The 20,062-nt window shown below is 38.9% G+C and overlaps 1 pseudogene, besides 1 other annotated feature; it reads right to left on the bottom strand.

Moving 5' to 3' along the window:
• Positions 2,808-3,307: an enhancer, noted in NCBI's record as "H3K4me1 hESC enhancer chr1:158856217-158856716 (GRCh37/hg19 assembly coordinates)". NCBI's record gives its function as "activates a minimal SCP1, AML or CMV promoter by ChIP-STARR-seq in naive H9 embryonic stem cells {active_cell/tissue: H9 hESC(naive)}" and the evidence as "EXISTENCE:reporter gene assay evidence [ECO:0000049][PMID:30033119]".
• Positions 8,838-10,996, bottom strand: PYHIN5P (pyrin and HIN domain family member 5, pseudogene; annotated as a pseudogene).

Raw genomic sequence — 20,062 nt, 5'->3', positions numbered from 1 at the left:
GGTTTGCCAGTATTTTATTGAGGATTTGTGCATCAATGTTCATCAAGGATATTCTTCTAAAATTCTCTTTTTTGGTTGTGTCTCTGTCCAGCTTTGGTATCAGAATGATGCTGGCCTCATAAAATGAGTTAGGGAGGATTCCCTCTTTTTCTATTGATTGGAATAATTTCAGAAGGAATGGTAGCACTTTCTCCTTGTACCTCTGGTAGAATTTGGCTGTGAATCCGTCTGGTCCTGGACTCTTTTTGGTTGGTAAGCTATTGATTATTGCCACAATTTCAGATCCTGTTTTTGGTCTATTCAGAGATTCAACTTCTTCCTGGTTTAGTCTTGGGAGAGTATATGTGTCCAGGAATTTATCCATTTCTTCTAGATTTTCTAGTTTATTTGTGTAGAGGTGTTTGTAGTATTCTCTGATGGTAGTTTGTATTTCTGTGGGATTGGTGGTGACATCCCCTTTATCATTTTTTATTGCGTCTATTTGATTCTTGTCTCTTTTTTTCTTTATTAGTCTTGCTAGCAGTCTATCAATTTTGTTGATCCTTTCAAAAAACCAGCTCCTGGATTCCTTAATTTTTTGAAGGGTTTTTTGTGTCTCTATTTCCTTCAGTTCTGCTCTGATTTTAGTTATTTCTTGCCTTCTGCTAGCTTTTGAATGTGTTTGCTCTTGCTTTTCTAGTTCTTTTAACTGTGATGTTAGGGTGTCAATTTTGGATCTTTCCTGCTTTCTCTTGTGGGCTTTTAGTGCTATAAATTTCCCTCTACACACTGCTTTGAATGCGTCCCAGAGATTCTGGTATGTTGTGTCTTTGTTCTCGTTGGTTTCAAAGAACATCTTTATTTCTGCCTTCATTTCCTTATGTACCCAGTAGTCATTCAGGAGCAGGTTGTTCAGTTTCCATGTAGTTGAGCGGTTTTGAGTGAGATTCTTAATCCTGAGTTCTAGTTTGATTGCACTGTGGTCTGAGAGATAGTTTGTTATAATCTCTGTTCTTTTACATTTGCTGAGGAGAGCTTTACTTCCAAGTATGTGGTCAATTTTGGAATAGGTGTGGTGTGGTGCTGAAAAAAATGTATATTCTGTTGATTTGGGGTGGAGAGTTCTGTAGATGTCTATTAGGTCTGCTTGGTGCAGAGCTGAGTTCAATTCCTGGGTATCCTTGTTGACTTTCTGTCTCGTTGATCTGTCTAATGTTGACAGTGGGGTATTAAAGTCTCCCATTATTAATGTGTGGGAGTCTGAGTCTCTTTGTAGGTCACTCAGGACTTGCTTTATGAATCTGGGTGCTCCTGTATTGGGTGCATATATATTTGGGATAGTTAGCTCTTCTTGTTGAATTGATCCCTTTACCATTATGTAATGGCCTTCTTTGTCTCTTTTGATCTTTGTTGGTTTAAAGTCTGTTTTATCAGAGACTAGGATTGCAACCCGTGCCTTTTTTTGTTTTCCATTTGCTTGTTAGATCTTCCTCCATCCTTTTATTTTGAGCCTATGTGTGTCTCTGCACGTGAGATGCATTTCCTGAATACAGCACACTGATGGGTCTTGACTCTTTATCCAATTTGCCAGTCTGTGTCTTTTAATTGGAGCATTTAGTCCATTTACATTTAAAGTTAATATTGTTATGTGTGAATTTGATCCTGTCATTATGATGTTAGCTGGTGATTTTGCTCGTTAGTTGATGCAGTTTCTTCCTAGTCTCGATGGTCTTTACATTTTGGCATGATTTTGCAGTGGCTGGTACTGGTTGTTCCTTTTCATGTTTAGCGTTTCCTTCAGGAGCTCTTTTAGGGCAGGCCTGGTGGTGACAAAATCTCTCAGCATTTGCTTGTCTGTAAAGTATTTTATTTCTCCTTCACTTATGAAGCTTAGTTTGGCTGGATATGAAATTCTGGGTTGAAAATTCTTTTCTTTAAGAATGTTGAATATTGGCCCCCACTCTCTTCTGGCTTGTAGGGTTTCTGCTGAGAGATCCGCTGTTAGTCTGATGGGCTTCCCTTTGAGGGTAACCTGACCTTTCTCTCTGGCTGCACTTAACATTTTTTCCTTCATTTCAACTTCGGTGAATCTGACAATTATGTGTCTTGGAGTTGCTCTTCTCAAGGAGTATCTTTGTGGCGTTCTCTGTATTTCCTGAATCTGAACGTTGGCCTGCCTTGCTAGATTGGGGAAATTCTCCTGGATAATATCCTGCAGAGTGTTTTCCAACTTGGTTCCATTCTCCCTGTCACTTTCAGGTACACCAATCAGACGTAGATTTGGTCTTTTCACATAGTCCCATATTTCTTGGAGGCTTTGCTCATTTCTTTTTATTCTTTTTTCTCTAAACTTCCCCTCTCGCTTCATTTCATTCATTTCATCTTCCATTGCTGATACCCTTTCTTCCAGTTGATTGCATCGGCTCCTGAGGCTTCTGCATTTCTTCACGTAGTTCTCGAGCCTTGGTTTTCAGCTCCATCAGCTCCTTTAAGCACTTCTCTGTATTGGTTATTCTAGTTATACATTCTTCTAAATTTTTTTCAAAGTTTTCAACTTTTTTGCCTTTGGTTTGAATGTCCTCCCGTAGCTCAGAGTAATTTGATCGTCTGAAGCCTTCTTTTCTCAGCTCGTCAAAGTCATTCTCCATCCAGCTTTGTTCCGTTGCTGGTGAGGAACTGCTATCCTTTGGAGGAGGAGAGGCACTCTGCTTTTTAGAGTTTCCAGTTTTTCTGTTCTGTTTTTTCCCCATCTTTGTGGTTTTATCTACTTTTGGTCTTTGATGATGGTGATGTACAGATGGGTTTTTGGTGTGGATGTCCTTTCTGTTTATTAGTTTTCCTTCTAACAGACAGGACCCTCAGCTGCAGGTCTGTTGGAATACCCTGCCTTGTGAGGTGTCAGTGTGCCCCTGCTGGGGGTGCCTCCCAGTTAGGCTGCTCAGGGGTCAGGTGTCAGGGAACCACTTGAGGAGGCAGTCTGCCTGTTCTCAGATCTCCAGCTGGGTGCTGGGAGAACCACTGCTCTCTTCAAAGCTGTCAGACAGGGACATTTAAGTCTGCAGAGGTTACTGCTGTCTTTTTGTCTGTGCCCTGCCCCCAGAGGTGGAGCCTACAGAGGCAGGCAGGCCTCCTTGAGCTGTGGTGGGCTCCACCCAGTTGGAGCTTCCCAGCTGCTTTGTTTACCTAAGCAAGCCTGGGCAATGGCGGGTGCCCCTCCCCCAGCCTCACTGCCACCTTGCAGTTTGATCTCAGACTGCTGTGCTCACAATCAGCGAGACTCCGTGGGCGTAGGACCCTCCGAGCCAGGTGCGGGATATAATCTCATGGTGCGCCATTTTTTAAACCGGTCGGAAAAGCACAGTATTTGGGTGGGAGTGACCCGATTTTCCAGGTGCGTCCGTCACCCCTTTCTTTGACTCGGAAAGGGAACTCCCTGACCCCTTGTGCTTCCCAAGTGAGGCAATGCCTTGCCCTGCTTCGGCTTGCACACGGAGCACACACCCACTGACCTGCGCCCACTGTCTGGCACTCCCTAGTGAGATGAACCCGGTATCTCAGATGGAAATGCAGAAATCACCCGTCTTCTGCGTCGCTCATGCTGGGAGCTGTAGACCCGATCTGTTCCTATTCGGCCATCTTGGCTCCTCCTCCTCGGCTACATTATTCTTTTACTCCAATCTCAATGGTCATTGCTTCTCTCTCAGCAATCTCCTTTGACGTATTACCATCTTTTGAGTCTGCTTGCTCCCAGCTGTGGTCTGGAGTCTGAATAGAGATATGCTCTCATGCCCATTATGGGTACATTTAAACAGAGCAGGAGTTAAACAAAGGCAGTAAGGCAGTACCACAGGTGACAGGGAATAGCTTATTTACTCAGTGCAAAACATTCAGGGAAGATTTTAATTAGGCAGAATGTTGGCAGGAGGATATTAGGTAAGGTTTTTCACAGTACAACTATGGTTGTTTCAATTGAAATGAAAGGATTATTGAATTAGGGAATCTGAGATGTGGAACGATTTACGTGCATATATATGTCTGTGTGCCTGATTATGTCACTATTTCCATTTTAATCATTTGTACTTAAATTTAACTTTGGTTAGTGTTATCAAGGCTCCTATTGTGAACCTTTGTGCTTGTCGTTAGTGTGCTTTTGGAGAATGAGATATTTAGTATGATGTTATGGAGAGCCAGCCATGTTTTCTTCTGTGAATCAGCAATTGCCTTTCACTAAAGTATAGCAATTTTTGGTCTAAGATGAAGTTATTCCAAGACTTCCTTGTTTATTTGAGTCTGACATGAGCTGTGTTGACCCTCTTCCTTGTTAAACTTATTTTTGATGCATATTATACATATTTCCACTTTATCTTTGACCTCTCTGTGTACATAGTTTCATCCTCATTTGTAGCATCCTTTACTTGTAGTCACCCCCAAATATATATCCAACTTTTCTATGGCTCCACCTATGGCAGTTTGATCTTCTCATTCACCTTGCTTAAGAATCTGCATTCTAAATCTACACAGCCTGGGCTGGAATGTCAGTTCCACCACTAACTGGTTGTTTCAATTGGTGTGTATTGCTTACATTTTCTGAGCATCGGTATCTTTATCTATGATATGGGAATAATTATTATAGCTTCATTATTGTCTCACTTCCCCAAACATAGTGAGTGCTCAGTTTTCTATTAGTATAAATGTAGAATTATACAATTATTTTAGATAATATCATCTAAACCCATAATTTTAACATGTATCTCTAAATGTACAAATGCATAACTCGCCAGTACAAAATTACTTTTTTTGTTCCAGATCTGTTTATACAGATCTATATATCTTCAGATTGATAGAGAGATATTTCTTAGATATCCAACAGGTAGCTCAAAGTCAACTTGTCCAAACAACATGTTTTCACTTCCTAGACTGTGCTGTTCTCTGCTTTCTTGATGTTAGTGAACAGTAGCACCATTTATACAGTTGCCTGGATAATATTCTTGAATCATCTTTGAATGCTCCTTAAATCTTTTATCTTTCTCAACATCATCACTTAATTAGTCACACAATCATGAGGATATAGCTTCAAAAAATATTTTACTCCATTCATCACAGCCCTGTTTGTCTTTCTCCTTCTTAAATAGAAATCTGAAGAAACCTTTCGTGGTGTCCTGGTAAACTAGCTGCCCAATTTTAGAAAATATCTATTTGTAGCCTTTGCATATTTTGCTGGCCTAAATATTTCCACTATGCTAGTTTCAAACTTCCAAAGATTTTACAAACAGTTCATAAAATCCCCAAATACTTAGCAATAAGTGTTCTGGTGAGAGCTGACTTGGGCACATCATTGCTTCTAATTGATATCTCTGCTCTAACCTAATGCCTCTCTAATGCATACTTCTAGAATTGTTACCATAATACCTTTTTTTTTTTTTTTTGCTAAAGTGTCAATGTGATCAGACATTCTTCTGCATAAAATCTTTAGGTTTTATCTGTTTTTCACAATGAATTTTCTGTTTCTTTATTTCTGACAAACAGCTATACTCTACCACCTGCCCCCGCCCCCAATTTTTATTCTGTGCTGCATCTTTCCATAGTTTCTTCATAGAAACTCTTTATAGAATTTTAGTTGTACAGAACTCACAGTGCAGTTTCACACTTTAGAGCATTTGCGTGTGTCATTTTCATTGCTTAGATCCCCTTCCAATATCTTTGCCGTGATAGGAAAAGTAGTGCTTACCATAGATTAATTTCTCATGATGTACTAGGCAGTGAGATATGTTATATAAATTTTACATATATGTAAACTTATATGCATAAATACGCATTGTCTCACTTAATATTTTAACCATGCTGATGAAGTGGAGACTTCCATTATTTTAGAGGATCAGTGAAACTATTTCCCCAATATCAATCAACTAATGAGTGTTGAATTCAGGATTCAAATCAGATTTGTCTTATTCATAACCCTTTCTCTTGAACACTATATGAAATTACTTCCCTGTCATCCTAATTTCTTTAAATACTTTATTACTTAGCACAAGTATTATAATCCTTTTGAATATTCCTTTGAAGCTTATAAGAATACTATTTCCTTAATATCATTAAAAACTCTTCTACGTAGAAATGAGTGCAAGGACATTGTTTGGATTTTCCTCCCACCTGCTGGACTGTCTGAGTAACAGGATAGGAATCTAGTGTTCCTGAAGCCTAAACAAAATCATTTACTTCTTTGGCAAACTAATGTTCCTCTATCCAGTTCCCACCTTGATAAAAATGTGAATTCTACAAATCAATTTTAGCTTGTAGTCAATTGTTCTTAGATGAAAGCAGAATAATCAAAACTTATCTCCTTCCTCACACTTGATATTGTGCCATTTTTCATTCCTGACTACATCCATGGTTCCTGTATTGTAGTATCTTACACACAGAAGCTATTATTCATCAATTGTATAATTCCATTTATATGCGAGATCTCTTATAGAGTGTGTAGGAAAATCTGGAGGTAAATTTAAGGGGCTAACTTAGAAGATATGTATGTAGGGTTACAAAGCAGTCAATCATGTGAAATGTTAGTTGAATTCATAGCAGTTTGTAATTTTTTTGAGGACTGTTAGGGAGGAATTGAATGTGTCATGCTGTCACCTTGAATTTGGACATGGACATATCAGTAAAACTGTGCCTTTTAATTATTATTATTATTATTACTTTGTAAATGAGAGGATTCGATTACCTTATCTTCTAAGTATCATGGAATTCAAAATTTTTATTCAATACTATCTTCATAAATAAATAAGTAAATAAGACAGAAGGGAGACAGCACAAATGTTTAGATCATATGCATAGCTGCTGAAAGTATTTGCACTTAGGAGAAAGTTAGCCAATCCATTTATTATACTTATTGCACGTCACAACTAGAATTCAACCTTGGTAGTACAATTCATTATACAAAGTAAATATATCAAAATCCAAAGTAAAATTATGAGCTCCAGTTGGGATAGAGTACAAAGAGATGAAATTATTGGCACGTAACCTAATTATTTAGACCCTGTATTGTATAGAAATATGCTAGTTGTCTCTGTGCACCAGAAGTGAGGCAAATGATCTGTCCTGTCACACTGAACACAATCAACATCTGTGGGTGTTTGGACTTTACTAGGATTTAACTTTAATTGATTATATTAATATTGCCAAATAACATAACACAAGGAACACTTTTCTAAAACACTAGTAACAACAAATTTCAAGTTGACAAGAAAGTTACAGTACACATATGAAATAAATTATACAACTACTCTAAAGGACATAATAGGAGCCTCAAAGGGCACAGGTGCATGAATGTTCCTAGGACAGGCATTGAGGTTGGGATATTGGAAGTAAATAGAGAATTATTTTGAAAATAAATTCCAATATTTGTGCAATTCAACATTACATTGCCACTAAATAATAATTTGTATTTTAATTCATAGACTTGAAAAGATAGATCTGATAGTTAAATGAATAAAACAAGTACTAAAATAGTAATCATTGTAGGATACTATATTGCAAAAAATGCAAGCTTATAAAGAGTATATCTAAAAATACAGAGAAAAATTTATTAATATCTGCTTGGGAAGGTTTCAATTAATTAAAAATTAATTACTTTTTGTTTGACTTGTGGGTTTTAACCATTTCCTCAAGTTCTAAAGTAATCATGTTTTACCTAAGTAGAAAAAATGAGAGAGAGAGAATGTAGATGGTATTGTGGCTTTTCCCACTATGATCCATAATCTTTCTCCGTCAGTGTTTATTCATGAATAAGAATTACTCCCTTTTCTGGAATAAGAAACACATTAGAGTTTTCATATCATGAATAAGAATTACTCCCCTTTCTGGAATAAGAAACACATTGGAGTTTTCATATATTATCAGATGAACAATGATGTGAGATATAGCAAAATATGAGAAGCCACTTTAAAAGTAGTACAACCTAATAAGAATGAACACGTAATTATAAATTGCAACCCACTTCCTTTATTTTCCAAGACGTGGTGTATAGTCTTCCTTCTGCCTGGATTTCCACAATTTCAACTCTCCATCCTATTCCACCACTTTGTTTGTTTTTGTACTGTTTTAGGCCTCACAAAAATATAACCTTCATGGTTTTCATGGCTGGATTAGATAACTCTCATTTGTCCTTCATTAGCTGTGCAGATTCACATTTCAGTACTTTCTGTCACTCAAAGAAATCTCTGGGTTACAGGGATTCACCAGATCAACAAGCAGCTTGTAATCTTACAACACAGAATAAATTGAATGGACAAACATTTATTAGTTGTAGTTAACATAATTGGTAGGAAAAAATGAGATTCTACTAAAGTGAACACCGTAAATATTTTACCTAGTCTGAACGTGGTTCCAGGGATGATTCCCTGAGGACGGAATATCAATATTGGGATCCACAGAGTACCTCTATTTAGCCATTTAAGAGTTTTACAGGGAGAGGGACTATGGTGTGTGAAAACGCTGAGGAAGAAAAGAACATATTGTGGATCAAAGAAACTTTAACAGGTTATTGAGCAGAGGGAAGAGGCGTAAAAGAGACTGAAGCAGTAAACTGTGAACACACTGCTGTATCTACCTGTACTATTCTGAACTCCATACCTCTCTATATTTCTCCCAAACAACACAGGACAGAAAACCTCCTGATGTCAGAGATAATATCAAATTTATCGAGTATCCTATGGAAGCAAAAGATTAAACTCTAGCTAATTCTCAGTATATACATTGGATTATTTGGCTAATTATCCATGTTATTTTTAAGTAGGAGATAAAATTTTTATATTTGGGGTTGAAGAAAACAAAGCAAAAGGGGACCAGGGAGAGTGTACCTCAGTTGAGGAAGTGTTGGGTGGAGCTGATGATGAGGTCTGGGGAGGTGGGGAATGCCCATGGCTGTGGACATGCCGGCTCCTGCAGGACAGGGAGGCTGAGTCTGCTCCTCGGATATCTTACTCCTTTTGGTTCCAGCCTTTTCTTTGGTTGGGTTTTTTCTTTTCTGAAAGTGGTTTGATTTTCCTGTTATTTGTTTTCAGTGACAAATGAAGTAGAGCACATTTTCATTACTGGGTAGTAGGTTTGTTATATGTCAATTGTCTTTCTGGAAACAAAGGATTGGTGCACATTTCCTGGCCTATTGTAAGACAGGGCATAGATGGCTTCATTAAAAAAAAAAAAAAAAAGAGACACTAGAAAGTTATACACATCATTCCTCTAAGTACTAGTGTTTGGGGATGTACTGACTTGCAATTAAAAAACTAGGTTTTTATAAATATGAACAAAGCATTTTCCCCTCTGAACCTGAAGTTAACACTCTTCTCTATTGGGGGGTGAAGATACTATATTTGTGCGATATATATTTACTAAAGTGTTTAGCTCATTGCTTTTTACAAACAAGATTAATTATTATGCAATTTGATAAATCTGAAGCTTGATGAGAAACTAATGAAGAAAAACTGCCTGCTGGAGAGACAGAGTGGAAGAGCCATGGCAGTTTCTTCTGTGGGAATTGAAGCCTGCTCCTCTTACTCAAGCTTACCTGAGCTATAGGAGTCTCCTCTCCTCCTTCAGCTGTGAACTTCTTGTCTGTGGTTGCTAAAGGTGTAGTTGGACCTACTTTTCTCTGCTTCCTCTTCTTTGATGAGGTTTTTCCTTTTGCTGGAATGGATTTAATTTTATTCACAACCAATAAAGAAAAAAGGAGGACATCTAAACCCAGAGCAGATGATCTATGGGAGGTGAAACAATCTCTATGCTGTTTTGTCTCAGTTCCTGCTTAAGCATTCAGGTGTGCTTTAGTGTACTCAACTGTATTAATCCAGCCTGGCCTCAATGAGGTCGATAGTCATAACACAGGCACAGGCACAGGCACAGGCACAGGCAAAGTCTCATGCTCCTCAGTGCTTTCATTACTCCTCCCCTGTTCACGGAGAACATCCTTTCTGTCCTGCGAACTCCATGTGCCTCAGTCAGATGTTTCCCAATCCCGGTTCTCCTATCATTTACTTGTAAAACTGTCATATTTTCACAAGTCTAACTTCTTGGACATGCTCCAGAGATAATCTATTCAAATTACAGAAACCAGTGAAATGAAATATGATATAGGTTTATGAGGTGACTATATGGTGATTCTGAACTTTGCCTTTTGAAAAAAAATTAAATCTGTGTTTTTTTAAAAAGGTAGTTTGTCTCTCTGACAGGTAGGCTTTCATTGAAGTATTGTCTCCTCTTTGTTACTACAGAGGATAATGGTGATAGTGTAAATAGCCTTAATAGAGCAAGTGAAACAATAGGTTAATTGATATATTTAACATATAAAACATCATTTTTAAATTTAGATTCACCACTTTCTCAAACTCCTGACCTCAAGGGATCTGCCCGCCTCAGCCTCCCAAAGTGCTGTAAGCCACTGCACCCGGCTTGATTCACCACCTTCTAACCTTTTTATCATACCAGAAGCCTCGGTCTTTCATCGACAACTTTTATCTATTGCTTTTACTCCATACCCCAGATACACCCTTCAAAACATATGAATCCACTGGAATGGGAATGCTCTATGCTGTCAACTTGTTGACATGCAAAGTACCAACAATATCATGACCGCTGAGGCATAAATTGGGAAATGGATATATTAACCATAATGAAGCTGAGGTTCTATTCAAGGTTGGGAAGGGTTTAGGGACAGTGGCAGGGAGGGGAGAATTCCCTTTTCCCAATTACCTTTTGACTTTTCTAAGAGTTTCAGCAAGGTCTCCTCTCCCAGTGTTGGTATTTCTTTGAAGAGTTCTCAGTTTGCCAAAACCAGCATCACCTGGGAACTTTTCTTCCATCAAGTCGGCAATCTGAATTTTGTCATATTCGTCTCTCCTTGTTGAATTAAGTTTTAAATCATTGATCAGTAAGGAATTAATTATGCTGAAGTGATAGTCATTGATGGCTTCTAATCCTTTCAGCAGAACATTGTTCTTGTATTTACTCACCATTATCTGTAGGTGACGGGTAGAACCTACAAGAGAAAAGTGGCGTACAGTGTCACACATTTATACAGACAATTGGAAAGACTGGCTATGCCTATGTGAGTGAGTGGCCGATGTCAAAGTGTTGCTCTTGGGTGTGTGTGATGAAGATGGACTGTAATCACCAGTTACATCATTTGGAGTATTGATTATGAATTGTTGCATCAAGATGATCTAAAAATTTTTTTCCCTATATTATGATAGTTGAGTTGGGTTAGGGTGGATGTGGTGGAAGTGTGTCTGGAAATAGGTAACTGTTCCAGTGTTTAGAGTATGTGCTGTGTGTGGTGTCGAACTCTGGTTATTCTTGCCATCTTTTAGGAGGCTGGAACCTTTTTCTGGATATCTGCATATTGATACCTGACTCTTCCTCCACCTACTATGATTTATGTGGCCTATGCACAAAATGGGCTGTAGCTTCTTACATTTTAGAAGAAACGTTCTGCCACAGCACAAGAAAGTCTTGTTGAGGTACTGACTTGCTCATTTGGCTTTTCCCTAATCAGCTCTCATTAAGATGCTCTCTCAATTATTGTTGGACCATATTCTCTGTGTCCTCTGTGGCCATATCATTGTCCCTTTGCTGGAAATCAACTTCCTCCAAAATGTAGAATCAAAGCATTTACTGACTGGGATATTTTCAAAAATTGCTTGATCTTCCCCTTTCCAGGTTAATTTCTCTAATCAGTTGTTTTCATTGAGCCAGCTCTCTCTATAATTCATATTTCTACCCTACTTGAAATCATTGAATACTTCTCCATTTTCTTTGGGAAAAGTGCATTACTCCTCACTCTGGCATGGAAAGCCCTCAATAATTTCTCTGTTTTACCTCGTTTTTTTTTTATTTTGCATATTTAAGACCCAGAATTATATAGCATATCTTGCCTTTTAAAGCTTTCTGCATCAAATATTTTCCTGCCTTTCTTCTTGAAAGGTAGATATAAAGAATATATGAACTTCATAAAATTAATGAAGTTTAAATTAAGATTATACAAAATTATACAATTATGTTGATATACTCAATTTGAAACCAACTATATGGAATACCTTACATTGGATATATTTATATATAATGTCCAAAACTCTGAATATAATATAGCATATGAGAAACACTATTTGTGAAAAATGACACTTCTTTTTCTCTCCAATATTTTCCTTTAACATGTTGATACAAGAAAGAGAACATGAGTGTTAAGAGCTTAAGTTTTGGAGTTCAAAAGACCTGGCTCCACACATAATAGTTTGCTATATAATAATAATATAAATTATTCTAGTTATAGAATGAGATAGGATCTGATAGAAAACTTCCTCATAAGGAGTTAGGGTGGAACTAAAAAATTGGAAATATAGGAGGATGGAGTCAAGATGGCAGACTAGAAGCAGCAAGTGTGTGCTGCTCTCATGGAGAGGAAACAAAGTGGTGAGTAAACTGACTGTACAGGAAGATTATCTAAGAAACCAGGTTGAGATCCATCAAGGGAATAAAGGGACATGGAGAACAGAGGAGAGTGAAGCCAAGCAACAGCCCACTGAGGCCTGGCCTGGAGCCAGCAGGAGCTCTCTAACAAGGAGAAAGGGTGAGTGAGACCCCCCAAGAGGATACACAGTTTCTAAAAGGGACCTTTGCAATCCTGGGAAGAGGAGAATTCCCTTGGCCCTCCCAGGCCTCTAGATGAATTCAGAGAGCCCCCAGAAGTTTTGATGGAGGCAACACTTTACTCCACAGGGAGCCTCACAGGTCTTGAACCCCAGAGCAGCCCAGTACCAGCTGCCATAGTCCCAATAGAGCCTGCAGTCATGGTGCTGGGGAGAAGTCAAATTGCTACACTCCTCTCTACCAGACCAGGCTCAGTACCAGCTTCCAGCTCTACCCCTACCTGACCTCTGCTAGGCTATACATCTCCATGTTCCCCTGAAAAGCACCTGGATGGCAGATTGGGCAACTCAACCCATCCCTGCTGCTCCTAGCCTGGCAGATTTGCCAGCTTGGAAAGCATTCAAGCAGTTGGGGGAGCCCACACTCTTAAAACACCCACATTCGACCGGGTGTGGTGGCTCACACCTGTAATCCCGGCACTCTGGGAGGCTGAGGTGGGCAGATCACCTCAGGTCAGGAGTTCAAGACCAGCCTGACCAATGTGGAGAAACCCCATCTCTACTAAAAATAGAAAATTAGCTGGGCATGGTGGCGCATGCCTGTAATCAGCTACTCAGGAGGCTGAGGCAGAATTGCTTGAACCCGGGAGGCACAGGTTGCGGGGAGCTGAGATCACGCCATTGGATTCTAGCCTGGGCAACAAGAGCGAAAACTCCATCTGGAAAAAAAAAAATCCACACTCTCAGAACACTGAGAAGGATGAGACATCTGGGCTGGTGGAGGAGCAGAATGTTGCTCTTTCTGCAGGGCTAGTCTGGAAAGAGTACAGCTTGTCAGCCATGTCCCCTGCCTGAGGGAGCCCTGTGGCCCAGAACACCCGAGTAAGGAAAATGAGAGCATGGTGCCAGTGATTTGAGGGGGATCCTCCAAGATTCAGGAGTGGATCTGGTGAGGGGGTTAGTTCTCTTCCCCTCCGCCCCAACAGAGCACTACTGTGAACATGCCAAAATGCGAGAGCTGTGCAGCTGAGTAAGTCTGTCTGCTGACCACCACTCTTACTATATTGTACCCAAATTACAACACCAAAAATATTTTGCCAGTATACAGTGCCTGTGAAACCTAAGGCAAAAATTTCAGCCACAAATAAAGATTCTGTACTGTTAAAGCAAACTAAACATGGCCTTAGAAGAACTCCATACTCCATACTTCTATATTTGAGTCCTTGTGGATGAACCCTAACCTTGTGAGACAAAATTGAAAACCTAACTTAATGGTATGCACCTGTAACAATGGCTGAGTGTTGGCTAGTCCCAGCAGCCATACTTCAACTACTCGTAGACTGCGGAATGTTCAAATTGTGTTAAAATAAGGCAAACGCCGAGCTGTAACCAATCTCACTCTTTCTGTACCTCACTTCCGATTCTTGTACCTCACTTTACCTTTTTTGTCTATAAATTCGTTCTGATCACAAGGCACCCCTGGAGTATCTCTGAAACTGCTGTGATTCTGAGGGCTCCCCGATTCACGATCATTCATTGCTCAATTAAACTCATTTAAATTTAATTTGGCTGAAGTTTTTCTTTTATCAATGCAGAGTGTTGGCCCTAAGAAAGCACCTAGAAATGAAGCCAACTGTCTATACTAAACTTACATTACAGTTAAAGGAACACCAGCCCTCACACATGAGAAAGAATCAGCATAAGAACTCTGGCAATTCAGAAAGATAGAATGTCGCCTTATCTCCAAACGAATACCCCAACCCCACAGTAATGATAATTAAGCAGACGGAAATGACTGACATAGAATTCAGACTCTGGAGGTAAGGAAGCTCATCAAGATTTAGGAGAAAGTCAAAACCCAATACAATGAATTCAATAAAATAATCCAGGAGCTGAAAGACAAAATAGCCATTTTAAGAAAGAAAAAAACTGAACTTCTAGAATTGAAAAATTTACTTTAAGAATTTCATCGTACACTCAGAAGCATTAACAACAGAATAGACCAAATTGAGGAAAGACTCTCAGAGCTTGAGAGTCTTCCAATTAACTCAGTCAGACAGAAGTAAAGAGAAAAGAATTTTAAAAATGAACAAAACTTCTTTGAAATATGGGATTATGCAAAGAGATCAAATCTGTGACTCATTGGCATACCTGAGAAAGGAGAAAAAAATAAGTCCATTTAGAAAATATAGTTGAGGATACAGTAGCTTTTCTGTAAGTTTAGAATTTGTTAACATAAACAGTTAAAGAAAAGAAGGAGGGATCAAAATCAAATAAAAATACCTGAAGTAATTTTATACTGTTCACGCTAAATCTTATATATATACTTTTGAAACACCCTCCAAATGGAAATAAAAGCTTGTGCATTTGTGAAAATTTGGTAACAAAATTTGTTAGAAAAATATCTAATGTGAGGTGGCAAAAGTCTATAATCTTTGAAAAACCCCATTTTAGCAAGAATGTTTATATGTCTTGCTGCAGATATATTGGTGTATTTGATTTGAGAGTCATAACCTGGACCTAATTGGTCTAGCTATGTAACACTCTACATATGGTGTGTGTATTAAGGAGCCTTTCTTAAGTCATTCAGATTCTGAAACTTTATGTGACTCCAAGGGTTTCAGAGAGGTGCCGCCAATCTAACTTGAAGAAAAGATAATTTTGAAACTGAAATTTTATATCTAGCCAAACTGGCATTTAAATGTGATGGCCTATAGACAATTCCTTGATATTGACTCAGGCAATTAACAATCAGAATATTTGCAACACAAAGACACCTACCAGCCCTCTTTTGGAAAAAGAGTATTCCAAAATCAAATAAACACATGAGATTTTTTTTAAAAATACAGTCTAAAAAGTAAGAGTAAAGAAGTAATTCGATTAAGTCTTTCAACTTATAAAAATGTGTAAAGCCCTGATCGAAATGAAATAGGAATTAGATAAACACGGTAGGCTGAAAGTAGTGAGAAAGAAGATGAGTGTTCACTAAGTTACATATCCTTAAAGAGAAGATATAGATATACATTTTAAAACACTAGGTAGAAGAAAAAAAAGCATAGAGTAAGTGCTACAGTTGAAATAAAGTTACTAATGTAACCAGAGCCTTTTTAGTGTCCAACTCATAGTGTCCATTGTTACCAAGAAATGGTGCTGTCTTACAAGAAGTGACAAAGACATGAAGTAAACTCCCAGGCCCCAAATTCCTTAATGCAAATAATCTCACGAATTTCTAGCTAGACCCATGGACTTGTTATTAATAAACAGCATTTCAAAATATCAGGGCTCTGGCTCCCAGTATGCTAAGTGAGGAAGTGTGACAGGCAAGCGTGGACCATGGGCTTCATAGAAATAGGTACATTGACCCACACTAGCTACCTCCTCAAACCAGAAGAGCTTAGACTTGTCTGACTTGGGATACAAAACACATACAGAGAGATTGCTTGTGGATAGTTGGACTTACCTATGTGTGTGTGACTGTGTGTGTGTGTGTGTGTTTCTAGGCATTCTTTCAACAATTTGCATGCCATTTTCTTGCCTGGATTAGATGACCTTCATTTATGCTTCATTGGACACTGCAATTTTTATCTTAGTACTTGGTGTTCATGGACATTTAATCAATGTTGCCAATTTATCATAGCACAGGTGTTATCTTTAATTTTAGGTGTCAACTTGATTGAATTAAGGAATACCCATGAAAACTGGTAAAGCATTATCATGGGTGTGTCTGTGAGGGTGTTTCTAGAGGAGGTTGGCATGCGAGTTGGTGGAGTGAGTTATGAAGATCTGTTCTCAACTTGGGTGGGCGTCAGCCAAACAGCTGTAAGTGTGTGTGTGGTGGGGGCTAGATTGAATGAAAAAGGCAGAGGAAAGGTGATTTCTCTCTCTCTCCTGGAGCTGGAACATTCTTCTTCTCCTGCCCTTGGACATCAGAACTCCAGGCTCTCTGGCCTTTGGACTCCAGGACTTAACACCAGTGGTCCCCAGGTTCCTAGGCTTTTGGCCTCGTATTGAGAATTATGCCATCAGATTCCCTGATTCTGAAGCTTTCAGATTTGGGCTGAGCAACACCAATGGAATCCCAGGGTCTCCAGCTTACAATTGCCCTGTCCTGGACCTTCTCAGTTTCCATAACCCAGTGAGCCAATTCCTCTAACAAATTCCTTCTGAACTGTCTGTCTGTATGTCCATTCATCTGTCCATCCATCCATCCATCCATCCATCCATCCATCCATCCATCCATCCATTCTATTGGTTTTATCTCTCTGGAGAACCCTATCTAATACAACAGGGAAACACTTCCACCAAAACAAGTTAATCAGTAGCAATAGAGTTATATACGAGAGTAACAATAGTAACAGTGGAATGTAGACTGAAGAAAGATAGAGGACTCATATGAAAGAAATTATAAAACTACTTGGGGGAACATAATAGGACAGTGAGGGTCTCTTCATTGTGGAGACCATTGTAATAGGGGACATAGTAAATTCATAATGTATGAAATTTTAAAACAAATAAACTTTCTTTAAAATTATACTTTAAGTTCTATAGTACATGTGCACAACATGCAAGTTTGTTACATATGTATACATGTGCCACGTTGGTGTGCTGCACCCATTAACTCGTCATTTACATTAGGTATATCTCCTAACGCTATCCCTTCCCCCTCCCCCCCACTGCACAACAGGCCCTGGTGTGTGATGTTTCCCTTCTTGTGTCCAAGTGTTCTCACTGTAAAACAAAGAAACTTAAGTACATTCATAAATTTGAGTATCTTATACCTATTAAGTAATATCTATATATTTTTAATTTAACTATTTATATTTATATTTATTTGTTATCATTTAACAGAATCCAATGTATAATTTAACAATACCCAGTTTTTGAAGGTTATACTCTTTATATTTCTATAAGAAATTAATATAATTGCTGACACAGTAGGAATCCTTCAGTATGATGGCTGTATCAATCATCTTCATTGTTGGTTGGGAAGGGAAGGATTATTTCATAATATCCTCAACCTAAAAGATAGTTGATAGAAGTTATGGAAATTTGTATTCTTTTCTTACCTGTATTCTTGTGATGTGAAATTAATCTCAACCATTTTGTCTTATTTCAATTTCCACCTTTTAAAACCAAGTGACAGGCTTAGTTCTTTTCCATTAGAAACTTTTGAAAATATGTTTTGACTTCCAGGAAGCATTCGAATATGTAAGCATAAGGTCAGCAATTTTGAAAGGTGGCAGCCAGATACAGGACAGATCTGTTAGGATTTGACTCAGCTAGTCTTTTTAAGATCAATTTCGTGGAGGGATTTTTGAAGAGAATATTTCTCCTACACAAGGCTCTTACTAATTTGAAGACAGTGTTCTAGTTTTACCAAAAATAAATTTTTAAACTCCTACTTTGTATTACATAAAACAAAAAAAGAAAAATATGTTTGCCTGCAGAAACATAATAGCCCTTAGCGGTGGTTCTCAAACTTTGGGGAGCCCCCAATCCCCCAGGGGATTATGCTAAATAAAATGCAGTTTTCCAAGGCTCACTCCAGACCTACTGAATCAGAAACTGGACGGTAAGATCAGGAAGCTGCATTCCTAACAAGCAGTTCAGGCCATTCTGATGCAAGAGACCCCTGAACAACACTCCAAAGAAAACATGGTGCTGTAAGTTACAACGAAACTCTGACCAGGTGCGCTGTGCTGGACACTAGACACGTTGAAAGAACCTCTGGGGGTCTGAAATCGTATCCACACAACTTGATCCATAAGTTTAAAAACGTACTTTTGTGGCCTTTGAGAGTTAATGCACTTACAAAAATGCCTCCACTTCCTTACTTACAAAACCTAATAGCAATTTTAAAGGAAAAGTGTAGTGATTGGATCAGATTTAATCACTTGAACTTGCTATTTAATCACTGCCGGATAGTGGCATTAAAAAATCCAGTAAGAGGCCGGGCGCGGTGGCTCACGCCTGTAATCCCAGCACTTTGGGTGGTCGAGGCGGGCGGATCACGAGGTTAGGAGATCGAGACCATCCTGGCTAACACGGTGAAACCCCGTCTCTACTAAAAATACAAAAAAAAAAAAATAGCCGGGCGTGGTGGCGGGCGCCTGTAGTCCCAGCTACTCGGGAGGCTGAGGCAGGAGAATGGCGTGAACCCGGGAGGCGGAGCTTGCAGTGAGCAGAGATTGCGCCACTGCACTCCAGCCTGGGCAACAGAGTGAGACTCCGTCTCAAAAAAAAAAAAAAAAAAAAATCCAGTAAGATAAATTCCTCATGCTAGGGAATCTAATTCTTTGAGATTTTTTTAAAATTATACATTAAGTTCTAGGGTACACATGTGCAACGTGCAGGTTTGTTACATAGGTATACATGTGCCATGTTGGTTTGCTGCACCCATTAACTCGTCATTTACATTAAGTGTTTCTCCTAATGCTAACCCTCCCCCAGGCTCCCACCCCCGCAACACGCTTCAGGGTGTGATGTTTCCCGCCCTGTGTCCATGTGTTCTCACTGTTCAACTCCCACCTAGGAGTGAGAACATGAGGTGTTTGGTTTTCTGTCCTTGTGATAGTTTGCTGAGAATGATGGTTTCCAGCTTCATCCATGCCCCTGCAAAGGACATGAACTCATCCTTTTTTTTGGTTGTATAGTATTCCATGGTGTATATGTGCCACATTTTTTTAATCCATTCTATCATTGCTGGACATTTGGGTTGGTTCGAAGTCTTTGTTACTGTGAATAGTGCTGCAATAAACATACATATGCATGTGTCTTTATAGTAGCATGATTTATAATCCTTTGGGTATATACCCAGTAATGGGATGGCTGGGTCAAATGGTATTTCTAGTTCTAGATCCCTGAGAAATTGCCATACTGTCTTCCACAATGATTGAACTAATTTACACTGGCACCAACAGTGTAAAAACATTCCTGTTTCTCCCCATCCTCTCCAGCTTCTGTTGTTTCCTGACTTTTTAATGATTGCCATTCTAACTGGCGTGAGATGGTATCTGATTGCGGTTTTGATTTGAATTTCTCTGATGACCAGTGATGATGAGCATTGTTTCATATGTCTGTTGGTGGCATAAATGTCTTCCTTTGAGAAGTGTCTGTTCATGTCCTTTGCCCACTTTTTGATGGGATTGTTTGTCTGATGGGTAGATTGCAAAGATTTTCTCCCATTCTGTAGGTTGCCTGTTCACTCTGATGATAGTTTCTTTTGTGGTGCAGAAGCTCTTTAATTTAATTAGATCCCATTTGTCTATTTTAGCTTTTGTTGCCATTGCTTTTAGTGTTTTAGTCATGAAGTCTTTGCCCATGCCTATGTCCTGAATGGTATTGCCTAGGTTTTCTTCTAGGGTTTTTATGGTGTTAGGTCTTATATTTAAGTCTTCAATCCATCTTGAGTTAATTTTTGTATATGGTCTAAGGAAGGGATCCAG

Source organism: Homo sapiens, chromosome 1 (assembly GCF_000001405.40).
Source record: "Homo sapiens chromosome 1, GRCh38.p14 Primary Assembly".
Lineage (NCBI taxonomy): Eukaryota > Metazoa > Chordata > Mammalia > Primates > Hominidae > Homo > Homo sapiens.
This window is presented reverse-complemented; position numbering and strand designations above follow the sequence as displayed.